This window comes from Homo sapiens, chromosome 12 (assembly GCF_000001405.40).
Source record: "Homo sapiens chromosome 12, GRCh38.p14 Primary Assembly".
NCBI classification, from domain to species: Eukaryota; Metazoa; Chordata; class Mammalia; order Primates; family Hominidae; genus Homo; species Homo sapiens.
The window spans coordinates 96,295,845-96,309,369 of record NC_000012.12 but is presented as its reverse complement, the minus strand read 5'-3'; the positions used below and the strand labels follow the sequence as shown (position 1 = coordinate 96,309,369).

The window sequence follows — 13,525 nt, the reverse complement described above, 5'->3', positions numbered from 1 at the left end:
TGCCTTGGCAAATCACAAGCTTACAGAGATAGCACTTGAGCTGGTCCTAGAAGGATGGGCAGAAATTTGTCAGTCAAAAACGGCCTATGAATGAAGGGTGTTGTAAGAAGAGGAAACTTCATGTACTAAAACTAAAACCCAGAGGTTTGGGTGTAGATGTCATGTTTGGGAAATCAGAACTGATATGAAGGGTAATATGGAATAATATAAAAGCTATGGCTTGAACGGACAGGACAGATCCAGAATGAAAAGCCTTAGAGGTCAGGCCAAGAAGTCTGGACTTCTTCCCATGTAATGAGAAGACATCAAAGGTATTTATTTAAACAAAGGCTGACATGGTCACATTTTTGTTTCATAGCAATAGCTTTAGGAAAAGTACAAACAATGAATTAGAGAGAAAGACTAGAGGCAGGGAGAATTAGGAATGTATTCAAAATTAAGGATGATGTGGCAATCAGATGGAAATAGAAAGCAGAACATAAATCCTAGGGACCAGGAAGGGATAAAATACCACCTAATACCCACTTGGACTTTGCACCTGAAGGAAGAGAAATTGATGATGACTCTTGGATTGCTAGCAGTTGTTGTATCTCCTTTTTTACATTATTATTATTATTATTATTATTATTATTATTATTTTTGGAGACGGAGTCCTGCTCTGTCACCCAAGCTGGAGTGTAGTGGTGCAATTTTGGCTCACTGCAGTCTGCCTCCCCGGGTTCAAGCGATTCTCTGGCCTCAGCCTCCCGAGTAGCTGGGATTATAGGTATGCGCCACCATGTCCTGCTAATTTTTGTATTTTTAGTAGAGATGTGATTTCACCATGTTGGCCAGGCTGGTCTTGAATGCCTGACCTCAGGTGATCCACCCGCCTCGGCCTCCCAACGTGCTGGGATTACAGGGGTGAGCCACTGCATCCAGCCTTTACATATTATTATATAATGGAACTATTTTCTTTAGAGACAAGGTCTCACTCTGTCACCTAGGCTGGAATGCAGTAGCACGATCATAGCTCACTGTAATCTTGAACTCCTGGGCCCAAGCAATCCTCACATGTCAGGCTCCTGAGTAGCTAAGACTGCAGGTGTACACCATCACACCCAGCTAATTAAAAAACTTTTTTTTTTTTTTTTTTTTTTTAGAGATGGCATCTCACTGTGTTGCCCATGCTGGTTTCAAATGCCTGGGCTCAAGCGGTCCTTCTGCATTGGTTTCCCGAAGTGCTAGGATTATAGGTGTGAGCCGCCCATAGCATCTGGCCCCTGTGGGCCAGATTAGATATTCTAGTTAGATAGTCTACAAAATATTTTGGTGACATACTCTAAAAAATAAAATCACTTTATGCTGTATATACCATGAGCACATTGTTATTTGACATTCACCAGTATATAAATATGGTAAAAAGTATAACACAAACTTGATTTTGGTATAAGCATATGATTATCATAATTTAGCATCACTGCTTAAGACATTTTTTGTGTGTGTGTGTGTCTGTGTGTGTGAGACAGAGTGTCACTTTGTCGTCCAGGCAGGAGTACAATGGCGCGATCTCGGCTCGTTGCAACCTCTGCCTCTGGTTCAAGTGATTCTCATGCCTCAGCCTCCTTAGTAGCTGAGATTACAGGCATGTGCCACCATGCCTGGCTAATTTTTGCATTTTTAGTAGAGATGGGGTTTTGCCGTGTTGGCCAAGCTGGTCTTGAATTCCTGACCTCAAGTGATCCACCTGCCTCAGCCTCCCACAGTGTTGGGATTACAGGCATAAGCCACTGTGCCTGGCCAAGACATTTTTATTGGGATGATTTTGCCATTTGATTGTCAAGTCAAAAGTTTTCTTCGGCTATCAGTTTTTATCAAAGATTGGTACTTAGGATAAATTTTGAGGTTGTATTTGTTCCAATTGGGAGTAAAAATGTGATTTAATCACCATGTAATTTTTTTAAGCTATCATTTAGGAGCTATCTTTTACAGTCTACATGATATTAAGAAAAACAGTGCCCTCTAATGAATGCTAAGTGATTAAAGTTTTTATTTATGGTTAAGTGTTCCTACCTACCTCCCCCGCTTTTTTTTTGAGACAGAGTTTCACTTTTGTTGCCCAGGCTGGAGTGCAATGGCATGATCTCGGGTCACCGCAACCTTCGCCTCCCGGGTTCAAGCGATTCTCCTGCTTCAGCCTCCCGAGTAGCTGGGATTACAGGCATGCGCCACCACACCCGGCTAATTTTGTATTTTTAGTAGAGATGGGGTTTCTCCATGTTGGTCAGGCTGGTCTTGAACTCCCCATCTCAGGTGATCCTCCTGCCACAGCCTCCCAAAGTGCTGGGATTACAGGCGTGAGCCCCTGCGCCTGGCCTGCCTACTTCCCTTTTCAGAAAATTCTGAAATGGCTTATAGATTTCAGATAAATCATGCCAGCTATGTTTTGGATTTTACTGATGCATCCATTTCATTATTCATCTACCTTAGTAAAGCATACTTTTTGGAAATACATTAAAAATTATTCTTCAAAATGAAAATCTCTACCCTAGGTTTATATTTGAACATAGTCAGTGAAGGGAGGGCATGTGAAAGTTAGGGATGGATGGAAAAGGAGTGGGAAAAAGAAACTCATTTTTTTATATGTATTAGAATTTGTGTATCTGTGGATAATATATTCTTTATATACCTAAAAAGTAAAAGTTTTTTCAAAGAGATCAGTTCTTCAGCATAGAAGTCTGGACCCTTGGTTTATGTGTAAAGGAGATGGGTAAAGATTAGGGATGGATAGAAAGGAGGTAGGAAAAGAAAAATATTCTTCACATGTACTAGACTTCATTTTTCCATGGATAATATACCCTTAATCTAAAAAATAAAATATTTTTTAAGGTAAAATGTAAAATTTAGCCTTGTCTTCTAAAAGTTTTAAACTTTCAATGTGTTGTTCTCATATATATATATAATTTTTTTTTTTGTACAAATTATTTGTAGAGACAGGGTCATACTATATTATCCAGGCTTGTCTTGAACTCCTGGCCTCAAGCAGTCCTCCCGCTTTGGCCTCCAAAATCACTGACATTACAGGTGTAAGCTACCTCTCCTGGCCTATTTTCATATTTTCTAATGGCAATATATAATGAGTAGTAAAAATAACATAAAACCTTTGCTTGAGTAGGAATTAAGAAACAATTCATTTTTCCTGGAGAAAGTTATACAGTAGGGCTGAATGGGTCTAATATAAATTTATGGTCATCAATCTCGCATAGATCCCCAGTGTTGTCTGGCTATCCCACTGTCTTTCTCTGATTAACTCTTCCTCTCTTACTGTAAGCAGATGATCTCTCTTCCTATATCATAAAAAAGAGAGAGGGCCAGATGTTGTGGCTCATGCCTGTAATCCCACCACTTTGAGAGGCTGAGGCAGGAGGTTTGCTTGAGCCCAGGAGTCCAAGACCAGCCTGGGCAACATAGTGAGACCTCCATCTTTACAAAAAATTAACAAAACTAGCCAGGCGTGGTGGCACACCTTTGTAGTCCCAGCTACTCAGTAGGTAGGAGGTGAGAAGATCACTTGAGCCCAAGAGGATGAGGTTGTGGTGAGCCATGATTGCACCACTGCACTCCAGCCTTGTCGACAGAGCAAGAGACCCTGTCTCAAAAAAAAAGGGGGTGGCCATTAACCGAAAACTCCCTCCTTTTCTGTATAACAAACTTGCAAATCTACCTATGCATATACCCATTCTGTTCTTTTTTGTTTTTAATCTTGAGAAGTTGTCCCCCTTACTATCCCATCTTTTCAGGATGCTTAAGACTATCTGTTATCCCTATAAACTGATGTGTGTTCAGTCTCCCATTTCTTACCTTAATCCTTTCCAGTGACTTTTTATTTACATAAACATAATTTTAGTTTTAGATTTACAGAAAAAATTACAAAAATTATATAGTTCTTCTATACCACATACCCAGTTACCATATTATTAACATTTTATATTACTTTAATACATTTGTCACAACTAAGGAACCAACATTGGTACATTACTAGTAACAAAACTCCATACTTTATTCAGATTTCACTAATTTTTTGTCAGTGTTGTTTTTCTGTCCCGATACTCCCTCCAGGATACCACATTACATTTAGTGATCATATGTCATGTTAAAAATATTGGCTATTGGATGGTGACGTGCTATTTAGTAGTCCTTTATGATTGATAAGAAATAAAACATTGTCAACATATTTAGTTAAATATTAGAATAGTGGCAAAGCCTATATGTAGATAGTCAGGATTCATCAGAGCTTCCTTGCCCTTACGATAATGGTATACCCAGTGGAAGTTTTGTGAGACTGAGTGCAGCTTCAATTATAATGGAGGTCATCCATATATAAAAATTTGTCTTATTGTATTCAAATTATAGGTTTATACATTTTAAGAGCATATGCCTTCCTAAACAATGAATGTTTGGATTCTTCATTCCTGGTTTTACCAATAGACTATATAGACCTTTCTTAATTCTCAGAGCAGGTGAGAAAATACAATCAAGTCCTTACATCTCTCAGCAATTAGAAATATAAGATGGAATGTGGGAGTGAGGTTCAAAGTCCCACAGAATTTACCTTTAGCATATTATGTACAGGAGTACAGGATTAAGGTGGTATTGTGGTGATGATAATAGCAATTTTTGTAAGACAAAGTGACTGAGTAGAATAGAGATTCTCAGTCTTTCCCCCTGCCCACCAAGTCTAAGGGATAAAACACATTTCTTTCGTTAACAGTAACTCGGTAATTCCCACAGAGAGGGAAATGAATGTTTGAAAAAGCCTCCCTCTTCCCCTGCTGTTTCTTTTTTGTTGTTTTTTGAGACAGAGTCTTGCTCTGTCGCCAGGCTGGAGTGCAGTGGCACGATCTTGGCTCACTGCAATCTCCGCCTCCTGGGTTCAAGCGATTCTTCTGCCTCAGCCTCCCGAGTAGCTGGGATTATAGGTATGCACCACCACACCCAGCTAATTTTTGTATTTTTAGTAGAGACAGGGTTTCACTATGTTGGCCAGGATGGTCTTGATCTCCTGACCTCATGATCCGCCCTTCTCGGCCTCCGAAAGTGCTGGGATTACAGGCATGAGCCACCGTGCCCGGCCCCGTTTCTTATGTATTAATATATACTCACTCTTAAAATGTCATCTATGGATCCTCTGTACATACAGAAGCTTCCCCCTTTATCTGTGGTTTCATTTTCCACAATTTCAGTTATGTGAGGTCAAACATAGTCTGAGGATAGGTGAATACAATGCCAGTATGATTATTTTGAGAGCAAGAGATAGAGACTGCATTCACGTAACTTTTATTACAGTGTATTATTATGGTTATTTGTTTTATTAGTTGATCTCTTACTCTGCAAAATTTATAAATTAAACTTTATCTTAGGAGTGTATTTAATATGTATAGGGAAAAACCTAGTACATACAGGTTTCAGTGCTGTCTGCTGTTTCAGGCATCCACTGGTGTTCTTAGAAGTATCCCCTGTGGATAAGGGGGACCTCTGGTGCTTCATTTGTTTTGAAGCTCAGCTAGAACAGCATCTCCAGCCTGTGATAGAGTAATTATGTTGCTAGATCCAAAGTAAACAAAAAGTTTCCCATAAGGCTTGGTATTGCTTACAAGTTACAGTGAATTCTAGGAAGACTATTATAAATTATAATTTAATTTATATATATATTTAGAATTTTCATGTGTTTATACTCTAAGAGCCATCTGAATAGGAATTTGCTTGGGGCTGTCAAAAAGTGAAGTATTTTCTTGGAACAGTGAAATATCAGAAAAAATTATCTTCATTTGTCTGGAAAGCAGCATTAAGGGGGCTCTTATATTACATGAAAATATAAGCTTTGAGCAGTGATAGTATCATACCCGAGGTTTATCCAAGGCACAGTTATTGCTAATTGAAAATTTTTCCCAAATACCCCCACCATGACAACTTGTGATTATAGTTGGCATTGGCAATTTTTGAGTTTCTGCAGAGACTGGAACAACAACATACACATTATAAAGCTTATTGTGCTATTTCTTTAGCTATTATTTCTGTTTCTGTGAAACTTTTAAAATATTCTAAAATAATCTAGGATGGAACTCAGGCTAGATTGTGAACTCATGAAAGTGGGAATCATGTCTGTCTTCTCTAGCACCTAACATTGTGCTGGGTAAATGTTGAATAAATGAGCTTTGTCCTCTGTCCTCTGAATAATTTCTGTAGGAGAGCACGTCAACAAGCTAGTCATTATATCTATTGTTAATCTTGTTGTGTTCAGCAAATAAAAATGCAAGCAAAATTTTCTAAAAATTTTATTTAAAGATTCAGTAAGTACTGTTTTGATGTAATCATTAAATCCTAAGTTGGAAATTACTAAATTGGGGGCTAAGCTTTTACTTTTTGAATTAGGATCTGACAGACAATTCACTAGTGTAATTGTGCCTTTGTCTGAATTCTCTGCCTGCCTGCCTGCCTGCATGGGTGGAATTCAGTAGTGTTGTTTATTTTATAGACTGATTATTCAAATTTAAACTTAACCTCTTACATATTTGTCTTTACAGTCTAATTTGTAGTCCATTTACATAGTCTTTAAAGCAAACCTCGACATTTTGTCATAGTAACCATTGGACCCTAGTGTATTTGATGTTTTAAGAACATAGTAGTATTCATTCATTTAAGATAAAAGGATTAATAAGAAAATTTCTCTACTCCTGAGAAGAAAAAATGCCTAGCTTACAGTCTTATTTCCCGTGTGCTTCTCATTGTTATAATGACATTTTAAATATTTTTTTCAGGAACATTCATTCTTTTGTTCATACTAGTTTGCATTTATTCTCAATATAGTGTTTTTTCCCCCATAAAAGATGACACAAAACTTAAAATTCATGGCAAAAATGCGGTAGTTCCATATTCATGAATTTAAGCACCTAAATTCCAGAGATAAGTATCAGAATAAAGATATTTTATTAGTTTCTGTGATCTTGGCAAGTAGCCTTTTTTATGGAGTAAAGTATTTAAGATCATATATAAATAGGCTATATAAAACATATATAAATTAAAAGATTATTCGTAATCAGACTGTCATGTACCAGATAGTGGGCTATTTGCCATGTTTTTCATACTGATTTTAAAAACTTCACTTGTATTTTAAAAATGTTATCTATTGTAGTTTTACTTCTTTATTTTGCATAGTTATTGATACTAGAAAGCGAAGGACTTAATACTGAGTCATGTTCAAGACAATACATGGATGAATAGTGTATGATGGTCGTAAAACTTCATTTTTAAAATTTAATGTTTTATGAAAAACGTCATAGGAAAATGTCATAGAATGCAAAAATAATTTTTCATTCATTCAATAATACCTGTGACCAAAGTTTTAATTAGTTTACTAAAATTGAATTAAGTACTATTGGACGTGCAGTTTTCCACATGGCTTTTAATATGATACATATCATTGTAACAAAAAGATAAAAACAGTTATTTTGAGGGGCCTCTGCTACTTTTGGCCATTCAGCTTTGGATAATTTATCCTATTGTCTGAAATGGTAAGTGATGCAAGTCTAATTACCAAGGATTATTTTAATTTTATTCCACAGTTCCAAGGAAAATTGCGTATTTAGACCTCTAGAGTTTGACTAAATCACAACGTTTAATCATCTGGCATAATTTATACACCTTTGAGAACTGAGATTATGTATTAAAAAACATTATTTCCTTTAACTGGCTTTTTATTTAAGGGCATTAGCACCATTCTAAGCAAGTGGATCTTTCTTTAGATTATCATTACCTTTTCCATTATCTATAAAGGGGTACTAGAAAGCAACTTTAAGAAAATTCTTTTCCCATTCTGTTTTACTTTTTAAAATATTTCTGCTCTCTCAGTCCCTAGTTTTCAATCTATCTAAAAACAAATTTTCCTAAATTTTGTGTTAAGGTTTTTTCTTTTTCATTTTAAATATTGTGTTTGTATTACATATTTAGGTATATTTCATGTACCCTGTTTATCATCTCCATACACAATAGTCAGGCGAGCTCAAGTTTTAAAAGCAAGGCTTTTAAGAACTCACTTTTAAAGCATTTTCTCTTGTTGTTGTGGGTTTGTTTGTTTTTTTTTTTTTTTTTTGGCCGAGTGTTGAGGGGGGGTGTAGCCAGAATTAGACTTACATTGCTGCTTCTATGTTTGCCACTTCCTGATCCATAGAAGAGCATGATTTTCAGTTGTCTTTTTCATTGTATTTTGATTGGAAAGCCTGAAACAAATAGTATTTTGTTGTTTGCAGGACTTCCTTGGGAATTCAGATTGGTGAGGGAGAAAATACATAGGAAAATTATTTATTTTGCAATTTTGTTAAAAAGAAAATCCCAAGTAGTTATCCTTGATAAGATTCTTTAGTATCTTAAAATGCCTGTGGTATCTTAGAATAAAACCAAATATTTTTCATGACAGAATGTTAACTGTGTATATATAAAGGTTGGGTTGACAATTTTGATTGTGAACTTTGATATTTTTGAACCTTTGAATGTTCCAACATTGGGTTTATTTTAAAACTTGATAGATATTCAACCATTTGATTATAATCAGATTTTTCTATTCTTAGTCATTCTTTAGAGTGGGAAAGTTTCAGAAGTTGAGGAAGAGATGAATTGAAACTTTAAGAATATATACAAGGCTGGGCGCGGTGGCTTACGCCTGTAATCCCAGCACTTTGGAAGGCCAAGGCAGGCAGATCACTTGAGGTCAGGAGTTCGAGAACAGCCTGGCCAATGTGTTGAAACCCTGTCTCTGCTAAAAATGCAAAAATTTGCCGGGCTTGGTGCTGCGTGCCTGTAATCCCAGCTGCTCCGGAGGCTGAGGCAGGAGAATCACTTGAACCCGCGAGGTGGAGGTTGCAGTAAGCCAAGATTGTGCCGCTGCACTCCAGCCTGGGCAACAGAGTGAGACGATGCTGTCTCAAAAAAAAAAAAAAAAAGTAAATACTACATTTTTCATTGTTTACTTTTCAGTCAGAAATTGGCTTTGGAAAAATGGAAACCTACATCAAATTGGAAAAGCTTGGAGAGGTAAGTAAATATCTCAAAAATGTAAGACACATTTTTTTCTTATTCGTCATTCAAACTCTGTTACTCCACGGTTTTTGTTAACCTGGAAAAAACGTAAGTACTGATGTCTACAAGATTATATACTTGTTCTGGAAAGGTAACAGAGTTTCTAGGAGTTAGAGTCTTCAATTCTTGAAATTATCCCATCAGTTTGAGAGGAAATGAATTTTTTTTATAGCTTTGAAATTTTTATTGAAGCAGAAAGTATTATGTTTTCTTAATAACAAAGTAGGCATTTGTCACTTAGTCTACTGCCAGTCTACTGTCTGTGCCACCATGGGAAATTGCATGAGTTCAGACCTGTGAAAAATCAGAATAAAGATAAAAACACATTTTTTGAAGGTTACGGAAATTCTTAAGATCTTGGTTTTCTTGAACTTACTACTAGTACTACTGATTTAGAAATGGCCTACCTCCTATAGTAGGAAAGGGCAAAGAAAACAATAGTTAATAGGGAAGGCTTAAAGGAGCTTGAGGGCTGTCCTGGCAATAATAGAAGAGATCCTTGTTTTTTAAAGGAGAGTTAATGTACAAAGATTCTGAAAAGTCTAGAAACATGGGTAAAATTTTTATGATTGCCGGGCGCGGTGGCTCACGCCTGTAATCCCAGCATTTTGGGAGGCCAAGGCGGGTGAATCACGAGGTCAGGAGTTCGAGACCAGCCTGGCCAACATGGTGAAACCCCGTCTGTACTGAAAACACAAAAATTAGCTGGGCGTGGTGGCGGGCGCCTGTAATCCCAGCTACTCGGGAGGCTGAGTCAGGAGAATCGCTTGGAACCGGAAGGTGGAGGTTACAGCAAGCCAAGATTGTGCCACTGCACTCTAGCCTGGGCGAAAGAATGAAACTCCATCTCAAAAAAAAAAAAAAAAAAAATTTATCATTTAACAATATGTACATTATGTTTTCATTTTTCAATTAATATGTTCAATTAGTGTCCATCAGTCTCCATATACCATTGCAGGTAAAGCACCTTTGATTTTAAAGCTATTGATCTAATTGTTAATCTAAAATAAGGTACAAAAAGTAAATATTCTGTCTATGTTTTTATACTCTTGAGGCACTCTGTAGTGTTACAGAAGTATGGAAGCTGTGCATATGAACTGAAAGTCCTGTTTACTGTAAGAAAAGCCATGGCTGATCATTGTGTGTTTTTCTTTGCAAGATGGAACTTAACAATGCTTAGAAACTAGAAATTCAGGTAGAGCTCTTTATTATAAGATGGTATTAAATAGACTCTTATGATACTTTTGATGCGTCCTTTAAAAATATATTTTATAGGGTACATATGCAACAGTATATAAAGGAAGAAGTAAATTGACAGAGAATTTGGTGGCATTAAAAGAGATCCGATTGGAACATGAAGAAGGTGCACCCTGCACAGCTATAAGAGAAGGTATAATAATTATACAGAACATTTTAAAATCAAAGTGGTGGAATAAGTGTCTATTTTTTATAAGTAAAAAGAGCTCAGATATACAAGTAATAAATGACTGGAAGATGTAATTAAACCTTTAAAAAGCAAATTTCTAAAACAAATACTCAAAGGGATTAATTATATTAGTGTATAACTTATAATGAAATCTGAATTCATTAAAAATCACTATCATAGACAACTATTTGTCATAGGGAAATGTTATACATTGGTACATGAGGAACATGGTAACTATAAATTAACCAGATAAACTAAATAAATTAAAAAACAGTGTGTAAACATATTTATATCATAGTACCATTTTATAAAGAAGATTATTCAGAAAATGGCTTGAGGCAACTGATTAGTAATGTGGAGGGGAAAAATGGTTCCTTGTAATTTATATCTAAATTAATGCCAGAAGTTTCAAAAGTTAACATTTAGGAAAAATACAGAAGATGATATGGAGAATGTTATAATATTGGGGACAATTTTAAGTATTATAATATCAAACCCAGTAGTATAAAAGAAAAAATTGATTTCCATGAACTTTTTTTTTTTTTTGAGAGGGAGTCTGGCTCTGTTGCCCAGGCTGGAGTGCAGTGGCGAGATCTTGGCTCACTGCAAGCTCCGCCTCCTGGGTTCACGCCATTCTCCTGCCTTAGCCTCCCGAGTAGCTGGAACTACAGGCGTCCGCCATCACGCCCGGCTAACTTTTTTTTGTATTTTTTAGTAGAGACGGGGTTTCACCATGTTAGCCAGGCGATCTCCTGACCTCACGATCCGCCCGCCTTGGCCTTCCAAAGTGCTGGGATTACAGGCATGAGCCACCGTGCCCAGCCTCCATGAACATTTTTACAACCAATCCCCTTGGTAAATTATTGCTTTAAACTTAAGAGAATCTTTTTTTTTTTTTTTTAAATAGCATTGTTGCCCAGGCTGGTCTTGAACTCCTGGGCTCAAGTGATCCGCCTGCCTCGGTCTCTCAAAAGTGCTGGGATTATAGGGGTGAGCCACCGCCCAAGACCTAAACTTAAGAGAATCTTTTAATCAGTTCGTATGTTCAACTTACTTCAGGTTTTTATAAAGACTGCCACAGACTAAACAATTTTCTTTTTCTGTTTTGCAGTTTCACTATTAAAGGATTTAAAACATGCAAATATAGTAACCTTACATGACATTGTTCACACAGATAAATCCTTGACTTTGGTGTTTGAGTATCTGGTAAGCATCTCATAAAAATTCAGTATTTAACTTTACTTTAGAAAAACATAGTAAATTGGACTTTTAGTTTGTTTTTTATTTTTCTTTAAACTGCAGCTGTGCTTAGCTAAATTGGACTTTTTAACAGCCCAAGAGACTTTATTATTTAGTTATCAGTTTTTCATTAAATTATGTGTATGGTGCATCCAGTATCTTTTCTTGAAAAACAACTAATTTTGAAAAACACTATTAAGTGAACCAGTCACAACATTCTGAAAATGGTGTATCACATAGCAGAGTGCTGTGTTTTTCCAGGATAAAGACCTGAAACAGTACATGGATGACTGTGGAAACATCATGAGTATGCACAACGTAAAGGTATGTTTTCTTGCGTGTGTAATTTTTAAATTTTGTTTAAAGCATAGGTGAACCATTATATAATGAAATGTACCAGCCTCATAACTCTTCTTCAGGGTTTTCTGTTTGGCCTTTTAAATAGGTTATTGTCCTCTGAACGTGCAATATTTACCCAGAACTTCTGTTTACTACACTATAGCTTTCTTAGGATCAGACCTTTTTGTAGAACCACTTCATTCTTTTGACATTTCACATTACAACTGATTGTCCTAATATAGAATATATGTACAGGTGTATTCTGCTTTAAAAAAAAAATTCAAAATAAACACGAATGATGGGTGCATTCTGTGAAAGGCCTTCTTTAAATAGTGAACTCCCCAAATAAATGGTATTTAATTGTAAAACAACAACTTTTCAGAACTAATGAATAAGGCCAGAACATGCAGGTTTTATGAACACTATGCTGGAAATACCAATCTGTACTGTCAGGAAGAAGAGTAAGATAATTGGTGTGTTTTCTTACAACAACATATTTAAAAATTTAATGCTAAAAATGTTTGCCATAAAATCAGTGCCAGATGATACCCAAAAGTTATTAACTGAGTAACAGCATCCAGCATAGTTTGTATTCTTACAGTAGGTTTCTTTGACCTGAGTAGTGTATCCAAATTTAGCAAAGATTTATTTATCCAAACTTAGTCAACAATATGTAAGAACCTATTCTGAAAATAGGCTGTCGCAGCTGTGTGCTTCAGACATTTCTAATTCTGTAGGTAGTAATTTTAAACTTACATTTTAAAAAAATATTAAGTTTGGTGGTTATAAAGGAGAGCCAGTTTCTGTTACTAAAAGACAGCTCAGAACATATGGATAACACATTGCTAAGGATTTTTAAAAAGGGCTTTAAATGTACTTCCATATATATTCTGTCAGGGTTGTTTTCATCTTATTTTACATCTTTTGTTTGCAAAGTGTTATAACTGTCATTTTGTATTTTTTTGGTTTTAATTTTGTTTTTCCTGCTTTTTTTATTGGCAATAATTTGAAAATAAAACAAGGTCCTTGATGATAATTTCACAAATGTTGAGACGTTTATTTCTTTAATGCCAGGTTTACATGATTAGCTTAAGTTGGAAAGCGTTTTATTATTTATTTGTTTAAATGGCCTTTATACTTTCAAAATACAAAGTGTAACAAGAATTCATTTAAATAGTAATTTTAGAGTTTTAAAAACATAATTATGTAGACTGGAGAGACTCTGGCACAGAGAATTCATTCAGGCATACCGTTGACCTGCTGCCTTGGCTGCCTCAGTGTTCGGATGCCCTGTTTTTCACCTACAGATGAACTGAGGGGAAACTCTTGAATCCTCTGTACTTGAGGTTCTTTTTGTTAACCCCAGAGAATCAAAGGTCTTATGTGTTCCGTAACCCTCTTTCTACCAAA

General features: G+C 36.1%; 1 protein-coding gene and 1 pseudogene across 5 annotated transcripts in view; both read left to right on the top strand.

Annotated features, from left to right (window-relative positions):
* The window catches only part of CDK17 (cyclin dependent kinase 17), a 122,215-nt gene that overhangs the window by 91,070 nt on the left and 17,620 nt on the right, over positions 1-13,525 (top strand). For 4 of the 5 annotated variants that reach the window (NM_001170464.4, NM_002595.5, XM_017019406.2 and 1 more), the window contains exons 6-9: positions 9,010-9,066; positions 10,387-10,501; positions 11,649-11,743; positions 12,038-12,100. In NM_001170464.4, the coding sequence (NP_001163935.1) occupies positions 9,010-9,066; positions 10,387-10,501; positions 11,649-11,743; positions 12,038-12,100 (330 nt within the window). The remainder of the gene's footprint in view (positions 1-9,009; positions 9,067-10,386; positions 10,502-11,648; positions 11,744-12,037; positions 12,101-13,525) is intronic. The other variant, XM_017019407.3, reaches the window with a different exon arrangement.
* On the top strand, positions 5,857-5,995 carry RNU4-24P (RNA, U4 small nuclear 24, pseudogene; annotated as a pseudogene).